General features: G+C 41.2%; 2 long non-coding RNA genes across 3 annotated transcripts in view; one reads left to right on the top strand and one right to left on the bottom strand.

Annotated features, from left to right (window-relative positions):
* The window catches only part of LINC02559 (long intergenic non-protein coding RNA 2559), a 12153-nt gene extending 7201 nt beyond the window's left edge, over positions 1-4952 (bottom strand). Inside the window, exon 1 of one of the 2 annotated variants that reach the window (XR_938105.2) lies at positions 4826-4952. This is a non-coding gene — a long non-coding RNA (long intergenic non-protein coding RNA 2559). Of the gene's footprint in view, positions 1-671; positions 735-4825 lie in introns of those variants that run through there. The other variant, XR_938103.2, reaches the window with a different exon arrangement.
* Positions 2694-19471, top strand: LOC102724801 (uncharacterized). The gene is made up of 4 exons (XR_938106.3): positions 2694-3033; positions 4449-4542; positions 4698-4797; positions 19324-19471. It is a non-coding gene; the product is annotated as an uncharacterized LOC102724801 (long non-coding RNA).

Below are 19471 nucleotides of genomic sequence, written 5' to 3'. Positions count from 1 at the left end.
GACTAATCATTTTTCTTTTAACCAACCACTTCTTATTTTGGCATCTCTTAGATGTCTTTATGACTTGCATCTTTTTTCAAACCAATTTTAAATTCCTCTTAAAAAGGAATGACAACCTGCCCCACCAAAGATCCAGGAAAGAAACATGAAAGCCCTGATTATGTTTCGCGGAAAAATATACATTCCCACCTCGCTATCCTTAACAAAAGACAGATGCTAATTAGAGTTTTCACTGGAATTTACAGGCTCGGTTTTAATTATACCAGATCTATCTGAATTTACTGTAGCCCTCTGATTAATAGAGGAGGAAAATCAATAAGCATACCGAAAAATTTGGATGTGTTATACAGCTAATTTCAATTTTATGTTATAATCATGTTTTAATGTGGGTCCTAATGACCATAATTAAGCTGCCTGTGACAGTGCTGGCTGGGACAGAAGCTGTAACTATTCTAAGATGATTTGTTGAAGGCTTTTCCCAGATTTTGGGTGCATTTTGCCATTTGGCTGGTTTGGGGTGCTGTGGGAGTGGGAACAGCATGCCTGTAGATGAAAGTTTCTGGAAGCCCGGCTCTTCCCAGGAAAGCCCTAGATCTAAGGTTAAAGCCAGACCAGGCACTATGGCTGCATCACTCACTTGAGCCTTCATCAAATATTTATTGAGCACTTACTATGTGCCAGGTGCCGTGATGAGCCCCGAGAACATGGAAGAGAGTTTTCATTCCACTGGGAAGAGTCAGCCATTAAGCAGCTAATTACATAAGTGAGAAATACCAGGTGATACAGGAGGTATTATAGTTACATATACGTGTGACATAATGGAGAACTCTGGGAGGGCTTCCTAGAGGAAGCAAATTCTTGGCTGAGACTTAGTTAAGTGTAAGGAGACACATCTTAAAAAGAGACCATTCCTGACCAAGGAAACAGAATTTGTAAAGATTTGGAGCTGAAAGGAGGCTGATGTGAAGTGTTATGAAAAAGGGAATGAGTGGTGCAAGGGGAACCTGTGGTCTGAGCAAGGACCAGACCATGGGGGGTTTTATAGGCCACTTCATGAATGCTCAGTGCCTGGCTACTTCAAGCTCCAAGCCTCTGAGACACCTTCTTCCCTTTCCTCCCTCCCTCCCCCCCCCCTCCCTCCCTCCCTCCCTTCCTTCCTTCATTCCCTCCTTCCTCCCTTTCTCCCTTCTTTCCTTCCTTCCCTCCTTTTTTCTTCCCTATCCATACAAAAAGCATTTATTGAACACTATGTACCAAAGCATAAACTTCTAGCCTTTGACTCTTTTCAATGACCATTCATTCATTCACTTTTTCAAAACGCATTTTTTTTGTACCAGAAATTCAAGTACAAGATTTATAGGGATCTACCTTGAACTCTACGCATTTGTTGAATGCTATTCATTCAGTAACCTCCCACAAAGGCTTCCTATGTTTTAAGCATATAGTATGCTAGCCCTCCACCTCTGTTCATTAAATCTTTAGTCCTTCATTAATTCAACAGTCATGCTAGCATGGGTCCCTCAGCAGCTGACCCTAAGGCTAGCATGGGTCCCTCAGCAGCTGACCTAAGCTGACCACTTGAGTGCAAGTGGTTGATTTGGGAGGTGATCTTGGAAAATATCAGTAGGGGAGTGGAGAAGTGAGAGAGAAAACAGGACGGGAGCCAAAGACAGTGCGTGTTATCAAGCAAATGGCCTCCATGAGCATCTGGGGCTCCACTCCACTGGGGGACTCCTACAGATGGTATAGTGTGTTTGTTTCAGAGTTATCCTTCTGAGGAGTGAGGGAGCTGGGGTATTTATACACCAACTTCAATCACTTCTTGGTTCCAGGACTGCTGGAGGTCATGAGCCAATTCCTGAGGATTTCCGGGCTGCCGTGCTTGCAGGCAGTAGAGAAGGCCTTCAGCCAAAGACATGTAAATATAACAGTTAGGGGTCAGCACAATGCAATGTTAAGGGCTGAAGGCATATGGGGGATAAGCAGGGGCAGATATTAAATTGACTTACTATAGCTGCATTTATAATACCTACTATGCACCAGGTATTTGAATTTCACTTAGTGACATACATTTGCTCAACAAGTATTTATTGGCCACCACTATCTGGCTTGCACATAAGATCCCACCCCACACTCCTTATTTTATCCACCCCAGAGTACACCACTCACTCGGTATTCTGTATGCATTCATTAAACTTGCACTGGGTTCCTGATATATGTTGGATGCTTAGGATTTCAGCTTTAATCTCAGGCTCTGGGAAGAAAGGCATGTCCCCCTAAGGACTGTAAGAGGAGGCTTGACAGATCCCAGTGTACCCTCTGTAGACTGGATGCCCAGTCAATGCTGGAGTGCCCTCCTGAGGTCTGAGCTATTATGGGGCAGGCCAGCTGTGGTTGCTGTGGCTCCTGTCCATGACCTGTGGGAGGCCACAGCAGCTAGGCAAGTAGCCAGGTATCAATAGCATCCCTTCCCAGGAGCCTGACATAGCTTTTGAGCATGGAGATGAGAACCAGGCTAACCAGCCCAGGCCAATCGCTTTCTGCCTGACAAAGAATAGAAAGGAGTTTGGAGTTCAACCACACAGAATATTTAACCACAAAACTGTGATGCTCAGCCTGTAATAATCCATAAGAACCACCTGTGAGACTTGTTAAGCATGAAGGTTCCTGGGCCCCACCCCAGATTGTGATTCAATAGGTCTAGAGTGTGCTCTGGGGATCTGCATTTTAAATCGTGTGTGAGTGATTTTGAAGCAGATGGCCCACAGGGCAAATTGAAAGAAATACTGCTTTAGCCTAATAGCTATCTTTTACAGTTGGGGAAATTAAGGCTCAGGGAGAGACCCGAGTTGCAGTGACCCACAGGACCAGGATCCAAGCTCCCCACTGCACAAGCCAGAGCTGCCCTCCGTTAGAAGAGATGAGATTTCCAAAGCTCCCAGCCACTTGAGCATTTCAGGCACATTCTCCGTTATTGACAGGCACTAATGGGGTAATGAACTAAAGAGACCTGAGTTCACCCAATAATTGCAGGTAAGACTAAAAGAGTAAATATGATCCTCATTAATGTAAAGCAACTTTCTCCACTATAGAAATCTCATGTGAAGCTTTAAGCACAGGCATAGGCCAACCATATCTCTTTTAGTTTTGTTTATTCATTCATTTAGCTTTCAAGAAAAATATACCAGAGTGCTTATAAAATACATACAGTAAGAGAAACCAAAATATGTCAAATTTTCAAACATGCAATCTGTCTATATTTGAGTAGGATGGTATGAACATGGACACAGGCATGCATCTATCTGTCCACACTGAGTAGTTACCTGAATGCAGAAGCAAGAGGTGAGGAAGAGAAGGCCTGAGACAAAATGTATCAGGATGAGATAATACATATGGCATAATGTTAATTGATGCAGAATATACAATTCTACATATATATTATTGCCAAGGTATAACAATTTTTTAAAATGCAGCTATACAAGTCCTAAAAAGAACAAAATAAGAAAAAAAATTTTCAGGTAATTAAGGACTTTTTGGGTCAATCCCCCCCCCCACCGCCACCCCTTGCCCAAACATACACAAAAGTAGGAAAAAGAAATTGAGGAGAGAGAAATACAAGAATGTCATAGCAAGAGATAGTGAAAAAAAAATACATTCTGATATATATGCCTTAGACTGGGATTCTGAAACTTTCTTGGAAATGAGAATTGTCTGGAGAGTTTCTTAAAATGTGGATTCCCAGGCTGCCCCTCAGAGATGCTGGTTTTGTTTATTTTGTTTATTTTTCTTTGAGACAGGTCTTGCTGTGTTGCCCAGGCTGGTCTCGAACTCCTGGGCTCAAGTGATCCTCCCACCTCAGCCTCCCGAGTAGCTGGGATTACAGGGGCACGCCAGTGATCCTGGCTCGAAGATGCAAATTTTTAAATTTTTTATTAAAACTCTTTATATTTTTATTCTATTTTAGCAAAAAATGCTGATTTTAATGAGTCTCTCATATAGTCTTCATTGTCATGAGGACACAATTTGGTCCTAGACAATAATGCCCTTCTCCCAGCCCTTCCTCTACCCCAGACCAATTTAATCATGCCCCAAATCCCAGTTAGAATCTATTTTCTGTAACAAGACCATATTAAAATGCAACCTCTGTCTGGGTGGTCATCTATTGAGAGTGACCATTATAACACTGAGTGATAAGATGAATCCGACCTTCAGACCCTCTCCTGAAACTGGGTTCATGTACTAAGAATAACAAATATTTGTTGTCCACTTAGGGTGGGCCCAATGTTAAGAGCTTTGCATGCTTTCAACAGCTCCAGGGGGTAGTACTCTGCTTATTCCCATTTTCCAAATGAGGAAACAGGTACAGAGAGGTTAAGTAATCTGCTCAAGGTCACACAGCTAGTAAGTAGAAGAACTAAGTTTTGAATCCATATTTTCTTATAATTTAGGAATACACTACCTCTCCTTAAATAAAGTCAAAGAGAAGAGATAGCATCATGCTCCTGGGAATCCAAAATGAATAAAAAGACACACCAAGAGAAGGTAGGGTAGGAAACCAAATCAAGCCTACTGACCATATTTCCCAAGCCCAAATCCCTGAGTGTGGTCAAAGAGCCCCCCTTTTTCCCCATTTTGCAAAGGTATGAAGCTTGAGATGTGAAGATAAGTAAGTAACCATATTTATTTATATTCTTAAGGTATATGGTATATTCCTTAAAACTACACAAATCTGTGGAAATGAGACTGAATCCCTCAATCAGTATGAAGATATGGACTCTGGGTGTGATGATTACAAAGGTGGGTCTAAAAAGACCTCAGCACTTACCTTTGGAAGTGCTTACATTTTAAATTCTCTGATAGCAGACAGATTTCCCATACAGTCCGATGCTGTCAAGAAAACAGGTACCGGCCTGGCTCGGTGGCTCATGTCTGTAATCCCAGCACTTTGGGTGGCCGAGGTGGGCAGATCGCGAGGTCAGGAGATCGAGACCATCCTGGCTAACACGGTGAAACCCCGTCTCTACTAAAAATACAAAAAAAATTAGCCGGGCGTGGTGGTGGGCACCTGTAGTCCCAGCTACTCGGGAGGCTGAGGCGGGAGAATGGCGTGAACCCGGGAGGCGGAGCTTGCAGTGAGCTGAGATCGCGCCATTGCACACCAGCCTGGGTGACACAGCGAGACTCTGTCTCCAAAAAACAAAACAAAACAAAACAAAACAAAAAACAAAAAAAAAAAAGAAAGGAAAAGAAAACAGGTACTGTCACCCACTAGACGGATCAGAAAACTCAAGACACCAGTGTATTCATTGTATGCCTGTATCACAATTCGTCTTCCCACTCACCTATTGTTGGGCATTCAGGGTGCTCCCGCTTTTGGGTTACTACAAATAAAGCTGCTACAAGGACTTTTGCCCAAGTTTTTGTGAGGGTGAATGTTTTCACTTCTCTTAGGTAAATACCTAGGAGTGAAATTGTTATATATATGGCAGGTGGATGTGTAACTGCTTAAAGAACTACCTAATAGTTATCCAAATTGGCTGTTTTATTTTGCATTTCCATTAGTAGCGTATGAGTCTCAACCACTTAACATCCTTGCCAATACTTGGGATAATCAGGTTTTCAAATTTAAGCCATTCTACTGGGCTTGTGGTGGTAGTATCTCATTGCAGTTTTCATTTTCATTTCCTTAATGACTAATGATGTTGAATATCTTTTCATGTGTTTATTTGCCATCGATATATTTTCTTTACTAATAAGTATGTTCAATTCTTTTTTCATTTTTCATATTTTTAAATTTTTGCATAGTGTGAGTTCTTCATATATTCTTGAGACAGAAACCTTTGTTGGATATGTTTGTTGTTGTTGTTGTTGTTTTTGAGATGAAGTCTCGCTCTTGTTCCCCAGGCTGGAGTGCAACGGTGCAATCTCGGCTCACTGCAACCTCCACCTCCTGCATTCAAGCGATTCTCTTGTCTCAGCCTCCCGAGGAGCTGGGATTACAGGCGCCTGCCACTACGCCCGGCTAATTTTTGTATTTTTAGTAGAGACGGGGTTTCACCATGTTGGCCAGGCTGGTCTTGAACTCCTGACCTCAGGTGATCCGCCCACCTCGGCCTCCCAAAGTGCTGGGATTACAGGTGTAAGCCACCACGCCCAGTCGGATATGTGTTTTATAAACATTTTCTCCAAGTTTGTGGTTTGCTTTCTCATTTTTGTAAGTGTCTCTTAAAGAGCAAAATATTTAAATTTTGATTTTCTCCAACTAATTGATATTTTCTTTTATAGTTTGTGTTTGTTTCATGTTTTAAAAACCTGTGCCATACCCAAGACCACAGTGATTTTCTCTTATGTTTTCTCTTGGGCATTTTGTATTTTTAACTCTTACTTTTAGGTTTATAATCTATTTAGAGTAATTTTTTCGTATATGGTGGGTTTTTTTCAGCATATGACCATCAAATTGTTTCAGCATCACCTAAGGAAAAGATTTTCCTTTCCCCCATTAAATTGGTAATTTTGTTGAAAATCCATTAATCATATATGTATGTGTCTATTTCTCAGCTCTATTCTATTCCACAGATCTGTGTATCTTTATGCCAATACCACACTGATACTACTTTATCTACTGTAGCCTTATAATACATCTTAAAATCAAGCAGTGTAGGTCCTTTTTGTTCTTTGTTTTCAATTTTTTTTTTTTGCTCTTCTAGGTTCTTTGATTTTCCAAATTAATTATATAATCTGCTTGTAAATTTATGCAAAAAGGTCTGTTGAGTTTTTGACTGGAATTGCCTTCAATCCATGGATCAATGTTTGGGAGCATTGGCATCTTAATACCAAGTGTTCTGACCCATAAATGCAATTTATCTCTCCATTTATTTCTGTCTTCTTTAATTTCTCTCAGCAACATTTCATAGTTCTCAGAGTACAGATCTTGAATAACGCCTGCAAGTTTGTCACTAAGTATTTCATATTCTTCATATTATTGTGGTAGATTATTTTACTTCAACTTCCAAAAGTTTGTTCCTAGTTTATAGAAATGCGGTTCATTTTTGTGTACTGACTTTGCAAAACTCACTTATTACTTCTAGTGGCATCTTTATAGATTTCTCAGGATTTTCTACAGAGATGATTATGCCTTCTGCAAATAACGTTAGTTTTACTTTCTCCTTTTCAATTTATATGTTTTTGCTTCGTTGCCCTGGGCAATGTTGAATGGACATGATAAGACCGGACAATCTTGCTTTATTCCTCATCTAAAGGAGAAAGCATTCAGTCTGTTGCCATTAAGGATGATGTTAGCTGTAGGGTTTTGTTTGTTTGTTTGTTTTTTAATAGATACCCTTTATCCAGCTGAGGAAGTTCTGTTCTTTGTTGTTGTTGCTGCTGTTGTTTGAAACAGGGTCTCATTCTGTCACCCAGGCTGGAGTGCACTGGAGCGAGCATGGCTCACTGCAACCTTAACTTCCTGGGCTCAGCATTCCTCTTGTTTCAGCCTCCTGAGTAGCTGGGATCACTGGCATGCACCCCCATGCCTGGCTAATATTTATTTATTTATTTATTTTTGTGGAGACAGGGTCTTACTATGTTCCTCAAGCTGATCTCAAACTCCTGAGCTCAAGCCACCTTCCTGCCTCGGCCTCCCAAAGCGCTGGGATTACAAGCTTGAGCCATTTCACCCAGTGAGGAAGTTCCCTTCTACACCTGGATTGATGACTTTTTAAAAAAAAATCAGGAATAAATGTTGATTTTTTTCAACATCTAATGAATACTTTCTCTGCATCTATTGAGATTACTTTGTTTCCCTTTTTAAAGAAAGTCTCTTATATGACAAATTCCATTTATTGATTTTCAAGTTGTAAACCAACTCTGCATTTCTGTACTTGATCATAAGATATATTTTGTCTTATGTATTGTTGGATTTGATTTGCTAAAACTTTGTTAAAGATTTATGTGTCTAAGTTTATGAGGAATATTGATCTAAAATTTTATTGTAATGCCTTTGTCTGATTTTGGTATCAGGCTAGTGCTGGCTTCATAGAATAAATTGGGAAGTTCCCTCTTCTCCTATGCTTTGAAAATATTTGTGTTTGATTGTATTATTTCTTCCTTAAATGCTTTGTAGAATTTACCAGCGAACTCACCTGGATCTGAAATTTTCTTTTTTGGAATGTTTTTACCTACAAATTCAAGTTTTTAAAGATACTGGGCTATTTGGGCAACCTATTTCTTCTTGAGTGAGCTTTTGTAGCTTGCATTCTCCAGGGAATTTGTCCATTTTACCTAAGTTGTTGAGTTTATTTGCGTAATGTTACTAATAACATTCCCTAATTAACCTTTTAATATCTATAGCATCAGTAGCGATGTTATCACTTTCCTTCATGATATTAGTAATTTATATCTTCCTTTACTGATAATTATGGCTAGAGGTTTATCATTTTTATTAATTTTTCACAAATAACTAGCTTTGCTTTCATTGATTCTATTACTTTTTTCTATTTTATTGATTTATGCTCTGATCTTTATTATTTCCCTTATTTTGCTTACTTTTGGGTTTGACATTCTTCTTTTTTTTGGTTTGTTAAGGTAGAAACTGAAGTGATTGATTTGAGACGTTTCTATTTTTCTAACATAACCATTTAATGCTATAATTTTCCTTTCAGTACTGTTTCAGCTGCATGCAACAAATTTTGATATATTGTACTTTGAAATTTATTTCAAATAGGTTTTAATTTTTTTATTTCTTCTTTGCCCCATTGGTTATTTAGAAGTTTGCTTTTGGTTTCTAAATATTAGAAATTTTCCAGATATGTTATTGATTTATAGTTTAACTCTATTGTGGTTACAGAATATGCTTTGTATAATTTGAATCATTTTATATTTATTGAGGCATACTTTATGGCTCATAATATAACCTGTATTAGTAAAATATTCCATATTTTAAGGTAAGACCCATAATATGAGCTCATATTATGAGCACTTTAAGAATATGTATTCTGCCATTGTTAGGTAGAGTGTTCCATAAATGTCAATTAGGTCTAGTTGGTTGACCATGTTTTTCAGGTCTCTAAACCCTTATTAATTTTATGTCTACCGTTCTATTAATTATTTAGATGGGATGCTGAAATCTCTGATTATAATTGTGGATTTGCTTACTTCTGCATCTAGTTCTGTCAGTTTGGGGTTCATATATTTTGAAGTTTTGTAATAGGTGAATACATATTTATCATTGTTACAGCCTGCTAATGAATTGACCCCTTTATCATTATGGAATGACCCTCCTTATCCTTAGATGGTGTTCTTTACTCTGAAATAGACTTTGTTAAGATACCAGCTATTTCTCAAAACCACAGAGGTGAAGTTACTGAAGGGATTCATATTGGTAAAGACCTAGATTCATTATGGAGTGACAATAATGACAATGAAGAAGAAAATACCTGACATGTGTTAACTGTTTACTATCTTCCAGGAACTGTACCAAGTGATTTATGTGCTAATTTCACATTCATAGTCTCACTACATGGTGGCTTTTGCTATTATTTTTCATTTTATGAAAAAGAATCATTTCAGCTCAAAATGTAAAAAACTTTTAGTGGTTGTCTCATCCAGCTCCCCTCTTTTGCCCAAGGGGGAAGCTAAGGCCCAAAAGGACAGGGCACAGAGTACGAATGCAGAGAGTCAACCCTCAGGAGAGGTTGTTTTGCCTTTCATTATCCACCTTCCCCCAAATAGGCAACAAATGAAGTCTAAGGGTTCAAGTTCTCTCTATTAACATATACTTCTTCCCATCTATGGCTTTGTACTATAGCCATTTATTCAGTCTGTCCACCCATCAACCCAACCAGCCACCCATCCATCCATTCATTCATCCATCCACCTACCAACCATCCATCCATCCATCCATCTGCTCACCCATCCCTCCATCCATCCACCTATGCATCCATCCATCCACCCATTCATTTATCTGTCCACCCGTACATGCACGCATGCATGCATCCATCCATCCATCCATCCATCCATCCATCCATCCATCCACTCACCCATCCATTCACATGTCCATCCATCTATCCATCCATACATCTACTCATCCATTCATTCACCATCTATCCATCCATCTAAACCATTATCTAGACATGTATATACCCAGCATTCTTATTCTGGGGAAAAAACAACCAGACAAAATCCCCACCTTCAAGGAGCTCACAGTCTGGCAGAGCAAACATCTGCACAGATGAAAGACAGCTTCATATATGCATTAAAATAGAGAGCTGTGCTTGAGAAACCACAAGACAGTTCTACTCCCTCTGTGTAGGGAGTCACTTTAGGCTTCCAGGACAAGAAGATATTTGAGGAGGGTCTTGTAACAAGAGTAAGTTTAAAACAAATGTTAGACAAAGACTCCTGAGACAATTAAGACACAGCACCTGTCTTCAAAAACTCTGAATACAGACCAGTGGTTCTCAAAGTGCAGTCTGCAGACCAACAGCATGAGCTTACCAGGGAACTAATTAGTAATGTAGATTCTTAGGCTCTATCTACTAATTTAGAAACTCTGGGTGTGGGACCCTGTAATCTGTAAATAATAGTCCCACTGCGTGATTGTGATGCATAGCAATACTCGAGAACCACTGCTCTAGAGGAGAAGGCTACAAAACAATAATTCAATGTGAAAAACCCTGAGGATGCAGAAGCGAGAGCTAATAACTCTTCACCTGTACCCGTCTTGCCTTCTTGGTTAGGCTTTGAGCTTCCTGAGGATAAGAACTGCATCCTGCTGTTCATTCCATCTCTCCTGGGTCTTACCTATAATAGACGTCCAGTAGGTGAAGATTGGTTTAGACAGAGTCCAGCAGGAGGCTGCAAGATTCAGGGGCTCCAAAAGGGAGAGTAATCTTTTAGGTAACTAGAGAAGGTAGCCATAATGGGTAGTAAAGGACAGGGCAGTTTTCAGAAGGCTTGAACAAAGGTTGGGCTTCTCTTGGGCAGAAGATCTGAAGCTATAGTGACCACCATTCCTCACAGCTCACCCCTTAAAGACTGTGCAAAAGGGCCAACCTTAATCTCATTTGCTTTTTTTTTTTTTTAATCAAGCCTACGAAGAAGGCAGGTTTATGGCCCCCACATTACAGATGAAGAAACTCAAGCCCAGAGAGGGATAGTGACTCACCCAAAGCCACACAGCCAGTTTTCAGAAAAGAACAATCCAAAGCAAGTCTTTTGAGGTTCATCCATCGCCCTTTTCAGGAATTACGCAAATTCTTGTCCACTTCTCTGAGCCTGGGTTGGTCATTTGGTATGGGCATGGGGTCCATATAAGATTCTTTTCCCTACAGTTTCCTTTTCTCGCAGTTCCGGAGGTAGTAATTCAATGATCCACCCCCACATCTAAAATTCTAAGGAATTTTAGTTATTTTGACCAGAGATGTGAAAAAATTCCATCTGTTAAAGACAGGAGTTGATAGCATCTCCATTGCTCCCTTCTGATAATCCCCTAGGTTTGTCTTTTGTCAGCTTGCCCATGGGAAAAGTAAGGGAGATTTTCTCTAACAGCCAGAGAATAAAGACCTGTACCCAAGGGCTTAGAAAAGCCAAAACCTCATCCTTTCTCTTTGCTCCCCCAATATGGGGCAAGGAGAGTGTCTTATTCCATGGGGGCTGCTATAATGAAATATCATAGACTAGGTGGCTTCAACAATACACATTTATTTCTTACAGTTTTGGAGGCTGGAAAGTCCAAGATCAAGGTGTCAGCCAATTTGGTTCCTGATGAGGCCCATTTTCTTGGCTTGCCGATGGTTATCATCTTGCCGTGTCCTCACATGGCAGAGCAAAGGGGGGTGGAGGAGGGAGAGAGAGAGCACACACACTTTGTGCCTCTTATTGTAAGGGCATTAATCTCATCATGAGGGCTTCACCCTCTTGAACTGATTACTCTCCTAATACCATCACATTGGGGGTTGGGGCTTCAAGGTATAAATTGGGAAGGCCACAAGCTTTTGGTTCATAACAGGGAAGGAGCAGAGCAGCCACCCACAATGACAACGCCCATATCTGGCTCTGCCACACTGGACAGCTCAATCTAGGACCAGACAAGCCAAAGCATTGTCTTCCTCCTTTAGGCAATGGGTTTTTAGACAAGGATCTTCTCTCAATACACCAAAGTGGTGAAAAATCAAAGTTGGGGATTTCTTGGAAACAAACCCATATGAATACGTTACTTAGGTAATACTAAATATCCTGAACACAGCCATATAAGCCATAGAAAAAGTTTGGACCAACCTCTTTATTAACTTGTGAAGTCAAAGAAGTTTGGACTCTGAGCCTCTAAACTCTGTCATGAAGGCTTTTAAATGCGTCTAGTGCTTCTAGAATCTGTTCTTCTCCATTCTCTGAAAATTGTATAAAGACACGGAGTACCTCCTGTATGCCATTAATTTACTTAATATTCCAGCTTGGCTCCCTGGCATGTCTTGGAAGAACCATTAGCTACTGTTAAATAAATAAATCCTTACTGTAACTCACCCTAGAGGTGCCTCTAAGAGTTACCTGTGTGAGATGCAACCGGATCACAAATTAGCATCTGCAACTCAGTTTATGGCCTTTAATTTGGGGTTCCTATTTGAGGCCATTGTCCATTTCCTCCACTGCATCATCTTAGAACATACAATGTCCTTCCTGATTGCAGTAACTCATGATGCTCCCAGAAAAGCTTTCATTTATACCACCTATATTTTAAGCCAGGCCATTCCAAACAAACCTTTCAAAAGTGGTGAAAAAACAAATTAAAAAAACCCCAACTCTATTAGCTATCTATTGCTGCATAACAAACTATCCCTCAAAGCTTAGGGGCTTAAAACAACAAGAATTTATTATTTCTCATGAATCTATAAGTCAATTTGATGGTTCTGTTGATTTGGGCCAAGGTCAGATGACTTTGGACCTGCTGTTGCACCTGTGATCAGCTGGCAAGTCAGCTGAGGACTGGCTGTTCTAGGATGACCACATCCACATATGCAGCAGCAGACTGGTTATAAGCTGGATCAGGTGGTTTTCATGCTTCAGTGAACTAGCTTACATTGCTCTTAGTTGTGGCAAACTTGGAATTGTTCTTAGTTGTGGCAAGATTCCAAGAAGAAAAAGAGTAAATATTCAAGGTCTCTTGAGGCTTAGACTCAGAACTGGCACACCATCACCTACGCTGCATTCTTTTCTCTTTTTTTTCTTGAGATAGAGTCTCACTCTGCTGCCCAGGCTGGAGTGCAATGGCCCGATCTCGGCTTGCTGCAACCTCTGCCTCCCAGGTTCAGGTGATCCTCCCGCCTTAGCCTCCTGAGTAGCTGGGATTACAGGCACCTGCCATCATGCCTAGCTAATTTTTGTATTTTTGTAGAGATGGAGTTTCACCATGTTGGCCAGGCTTGTCTGCAACTCCTGACCTCAGGCTATCCACCCACCTCAGCCTCCCAAAGTGCTAGGATTACAGGCATGGGCCACCGCGCCCAGCCTCCTCCACTGCATACTATTGGTCAAAGCAAGTCTAGTGACTCCCCATTTCTTGATGGTAGGACCTGCAAAGTCACATTGCCAAGGGTATGGATAAGGGAAAGGGCAGAGAATTAGAGCCATTTTTAGCAATCTATCACACCTGTCTACCATTGTGGTCACAAACAGAAATTTAATTGTATTTTTGTAGATTGAAACCTCAAAACCCCCATAAGCAAATAATTTGGTTGAACCACAAAAATTTGACTTTCTTTTTCTTTTTTTTTTTTTTTTTTTTTGAGATGGAGTCTCGCTCTGTTGCCCAGCCTGGAGTGCAGTGGCACGGTGTTGGCTCACTGCAAGCTCCGCCTCCCAGGTTCACGCCATTCTCCTGCCTCAGCCTCCCGAGTAGCTGGGACTACAAGCTCCCACCACCACGCCCGGCTAATTTTTTGTATTTTTAGTAGAGACGGGGTTTCACTGTGTTAGCCAGGATGGTCTTGATCTCCTGACCTCTTGATCTGCCTGCCTCGGCCTCCCAAAGTGCTGGGATTACAGGCGTGAGCCACTGCACCCGGCCTGTATTTGACTTTTTAAAACAGCTTTATTGAAGTATAATTTACATATCATAAATTCATCCATTTTAAGTGTGCAATCCAATGATTTTTAGTACATTTAGAAACTTGGGCAAACATCACTATCATCCAGTTTTAGCACATTCTTATCACTCCCGAAAGATCTCTTTTGCCTGTTTGCAGTCAGTCCTCTCTTCCCACCCCCAGCTGTAGGCAACCACTGATATGCTTTCTGATTCTACAGATTTGCCTTTTCTAGAGATTTCATATAAATGGAATCCCACAATATATATGGTCTTTGTGTCTAACTTCTTTCATGTAGCATATTTTTGAGGTTCATTCATGCCGGTGCATGTATCAAATACTTCATTCATTTTCATTGCTGAATAGTATTCCATTACATGGATGTATCACATTTTGTTTATCCATTCACCGGTCTATGGGCATTTGGATTAGTTCCATTTTTTGGCAATTCTGAATACTGTTGCTGTACACATTTGTGTACAAGTCTTTGTGTGTACATATCCCTTCACTTTTCTTGGATGGATTTCTTGGAGTAGAACTGTTGGGTCATATGACAAGTTTATGTTTAACTTTGAGAGAATCTGCCAAACTGTTTTCCAAAGTAGCTACACCATTTTGCACCCTCACCAGCAATGGATGAGAGTTCTAGCTTCTTTACATACTCACCAACACTTGCTATTGTCAGTTCCTTTGACTACCAACAGCTTTTGACCCACAAAAATGGCATTTCATGTAGTTCAACTGAATATTGCTGTCCACATTTTATGGATACGAGACTGAGACCCTCGGGTGAGAGAGAAAATTAGATTCAAATTTGCATTGATCTGTCATGTAAACCTAAGCCTTGTGAGCTGTGTGTGTCTGCCTCCTTTTCTCATTGGAACCTTGCCCCTGGCTTGCTGTTCCAGTCACCAGAGAGGCATGCTCCAATCTCAGATCCCCTTCCACCCATCTCTCAGTCCCTCTGGAGGCTGGCTGGGCCTGCAGGTTTGCAGCCTAGACTCAACTGCAAAAAAACAACTCGTTCACGCCTGCTGCTCCACACAACTGATGCCAAGGGAAATCAGTGCTTGCTTGGGTGTGTCTGAGCCCCATGTGCTTATTCCCAGATGAGTATTTATAAAAGGAGTTCTTTGGCTTCTACTTAACGCATCCCCTATGCTATGATTTTATTGTGTCCCCTGGAGTTCGTGTATTAGAAAGAATCCCCAATGCAACAGTGTTGAGACATGGGACATTTAAGAGGTCATTAGGTCATGAAGCTCTGCTCTCATGAATGGATTAATGTCATTAACCCCGGAAGTGAGTTAGTTACCTTGCGAATGGGGTCCTTATCAAAGTTGGCCCCCTTCCCTCACTCTCTTGCTCATGTGATGTCTTCTGCCATGGGAAGAACTTCAACAGATATAGTCCATCCATCTTGGACTTCCCAGACTCCAGAATCATGAGCCAAATACATTTCTGTTCATTACAAATTACCTAGCCTGTGGTATTCTGTTTTACCAGAATAAAATGGACTAAGACACTCTGTAAATTGCAAGATAAGCTCATCAGAGTCTGTTACTACTTTATTGTTATAAAAAATCCTCTTTTAGGTTTGCTGAATTTGTGCTGTTACCTGGGGAGGAAAATATATATTTGTGTGTGTGTGTGTGTGTGTGTGTGTGTGTATATGTATGTATATATATGTGTGTGTGTATATATGTGTATATATGTATATATATGTGGGTATATATGTGTATATATGTATATATACATATATGTATTTATGTGTGTATGTGTGTGTGTGTGTATATATATATATATATAAATTTTTTTTCCTCCAGCTACTTATCAGCTGATACTTTTCTGGAAACACATTATTTTAGAAATGTGTTCTGGCACCCCAAACCTCTGTGCACCCTCCTGCAGAGCCTTGGCAGGGGAGTAAGGCAGTGCTTTTAAAATGCTGGCCTGAAAACCTGGGATGACCTCTGATGAGGTGTCCACTGGTCTTTGTGGAAATGAAGAGAATAATGTTGAGAGAGTGTTCAGAAAGCTACATTTATTTAATTTAAAGGGCTTTCCTGTATCCTGTGATTCTTGCCCCCCACCGTTAGGTGTTAAAATGCCCTTACCTTCTGAAATAATGGAAGTAAAAGATGGTAGTAATTTTTTAAAAATGTCTGCTTTGGTAAAATAGAAAATGGAATATGCTACATCTATCTATCTATCTATCTATCTATCTATCTATCTATCTATGTATCTATCTCTCTATCTCTCTATCCATCATCTATCTATCTATCTATCTATCTACCTATCATTTAATTTTTTTCAACTGCTAAGTGATGTCCAAATATCTGGGAGCCACTGTCTTGGTAGCAAAAACATGGGGATAGGAGAGAAATTATTAAATCTACTTTTTAAAAAGAGATAGGGTCTTGCTCTGTTGCCCAGGCTACAGTGTAGTGGCACAATCATAGCTCACTGCAGGCTTGAACTCCTGGGTTCAAGCAATCCTCCCGCCTGGGCCTCCCAAAGTGGCCAGGACTGTAGGCGTGAAGCATCTTAAACCTACTTTTGAATTCTACAATCCTGGTTTTAAACGTAACCCTGTCTGTTTGTTGCAGCTTGATCTTGGGTAGTAATAATCATGGCAACAATAATGGCAGAAATAAATACCTGCAGTACTCTTTCTATGTACCAAGCACCATTCTAACCACTTTATATTCACAAACTCATTTGGTCTTTAAGATATTTCAGTGAGGTGAGTGCTGTGATCATCCTCAGTTTACAGAGGAGGGCATAAGATCAGAGAGGGGAAGTCATTTGCCTCTGGGGCAGGTGGATGCCGAAGTAAGGACTCTAACTTCAGAGACACAATAATGCCACACTGGATCTGCCACTTCAAGCGTCTGAACCTCAGTTTCTTCATCAGTAAAATACAATGAAAATGACTAGGGTGGTAGTAGATAAATTCATGTGAAAAGGGGCAAATATCTTGATCAACCCATGATATGTGCCTGATTACTATTAATGTTTCTTTCCATCTTTTCCTCAGGGCAAACTCTCCAGGTTTCTTACAGAAGGCAGGTTAGCTGGTTAACTGCTTGGGTTTGGGAAGTTCATAGACCTCGATTTACATCCTAGCTCCTCTGTTTCTTGGCTGTGAAACCCTGGGCGCATTGCACACCCTCTCTGTGCCTCGGTGTCCTCAACTATTGCAGGTTGAGAGCAGTTGGGGTCATTTTTCACTTGTATAACATTTGTCCTCTGATGGGGGAAAGGACCAGACATGAGGGATGGGGATGCTGAGTCTTGATCTGCCTCTTTCTCTCCTCTGGCCTGGGTCCACTGCCAATGGCAGTGATGTGTAACTTAGAGTCTCCCATTCTCGGCCTGGCAGAGCCGACTTCCCTGTAACCCCATGCACCCAGCCAAGCTCAGCTGCGAGGCCAGCTCTAACCCCAGAGGAGGCAGGTCTGGCCAGCCGCAGCCAGGCATTAACAAAAGCCTGAGTCAAACTTCATTTCCTCTTGCCTAGGGAGCCTCACCAGCCATGGGCCAGGTGCCAGGCCAGAGTGTTATTGGCAAAGAAATTGATGCTGTGTGAAAGCTCTGCTTACAGTGCCAGTGAAAGCAGGCACTCACACATCCATCCTCTCCCCTGCCATCATGGAGCCCATGGGGACACCTGTCCTTAGGCCCATTGTCCAAATGACAAACTGAGGCTTGGCTATACAGGGTCTCTTGCAAAGCATCCCAGAGCAAAAAGTAACAACTGGGGTTTGATTCCAGGTCTCTTCCAATGCCAGTTGTCCCTTCTTTTATGCCATTTGTTTTCCTTGTTTGCTCTTAGGTACAAATGACTCACTAACAAAGCTCGAAATGTGAGGCTCTCCTCTGAGAGCTGCATGCAAAGAAAGATGTCTTAACAGCAGATGATAAAGAGGAGGATTTTAGTGGCAAAAGAATTGTCTTGCAGAGTCTAGAATGGTACCAAGTACCATTTTCTGGGCATCTAAGATGTGCCGGGGTTGGGCTTTTCATATCTAATTGAATCCTTACAATAACCCAACTAGGTCAATACTAACAGTCTCCATTTTCCAGATGTGGAAACTGAGGCTCAGAGAAGAAAAATAGCTGGACCAAGGTCACACAGCCAGAAAATGCAGGGGCCAGAATTTGATCTCAAGATGGGGGCTTCAGAGTAAATTCTCTGTTGCCTGTGAATGTCAGCCCATGTGGTGGTGACCTGTCCCTCCTGTGTGTAGCCCAGGTGGTGTGCTACACCCACATTCACATGGGATGAATCTCTGGTGCCCTCTCTCCTATACACACATGATGTGGTGCTGGCCACAAAAAAAGTTATAGGTACTGCAACACAGAACTCTGTGGCTCCAGCAAAACATTCCCAGCTGGGGAGCAGAGACACTTGGTTTGTTTTTTTTTTAAGTTTTAAAAATTAAATTTTTTTTTTTGAAACAGAATCTTGCTTTGTCACCTAGGCTGGAGTGCAATGGCACAATCATAGCTCACTGTAACCTCAAACTCCTGGGCTCAAGCAATCCTCCTGATTCAGTCTCCCAAGAAGCTGGGACTAAAGTTGTGTGCCGCCACACCTGGCTAAGTTTTAGTTTGTAGAGATAGCATCTCACTTTGTTGTCTAGGCTGGACTCGAACTCCTGGGCTCAAGTGGTCCTCCCACCTCAGCCTCTCAGAGTGCTGGGATTATAGGCATGAGCCAATGAGCCCAGCCCTGGTTCTGTTCTTGGCACTGCCATTCATTGTCTGGCCTTTTCCGCCTTAAGCTTAAATTCAGATTCCGTCTAGGAGGCCAATTAATTCCAGCTTACATACCAATTCTGATCAATTGGAAGTTGCTGTCTAGAGTGCTATATTGAAAAGAATTGTGAGGCTCAACGATCAATTAGCGATGTCTATCACTAATGGGTAGAGGTGGTTCAAGGCAAACATGAGCTAGGCATTTGCAAATCCCAAACCAGTGGATTTCTAAGGGCCCTACAAAGAACCTCAACACTGTCTCAAAGATCAGATGCCTTCCACTTAAGCACTGGGAGAGGGGGGCCAAGAGCTTAGGGTCATCAGATAAAGTATGAGCATCCTGTATTTTTATTTGCTGAATCTGTCTACTCCGAAAGAGCTACAAACCCAAGAGACTCTGAGAGTATCTCTAAGGCAGCTAGATTTATTCTCAACTTTAGCCACACTGGATATACACAGTAGTCTTCCTTTATCCTTGCAGGGGTATGTTCCAAGACCTCTAGTGGATGCCTGAAGCCATGGATGGTACCAAACCCTGTACACTATGTTTTTTTTTTCTATACATACACATCTGTGATAAAGTTGAATTGATAAATTAGGTACAATAAAAGATTAACAATGATCACTAA

This window comes from Homo sapiens, chromosome 22, assembly GCF_000001405.40.
Source record: "Homo sapiens chromosome 22, GRCh38.p14 Primary Assembly".
NCBI classification, from domain to species: Eukaryota; Metazoa; Chordata; class Mammalia; order Primates; family Hominidae; genus Homo; species Homo sapiens.
Note: the sequence above shows the minus strand (reverse complement) of the source record. Positions and strands in the feature narration are given on the sequence as shown.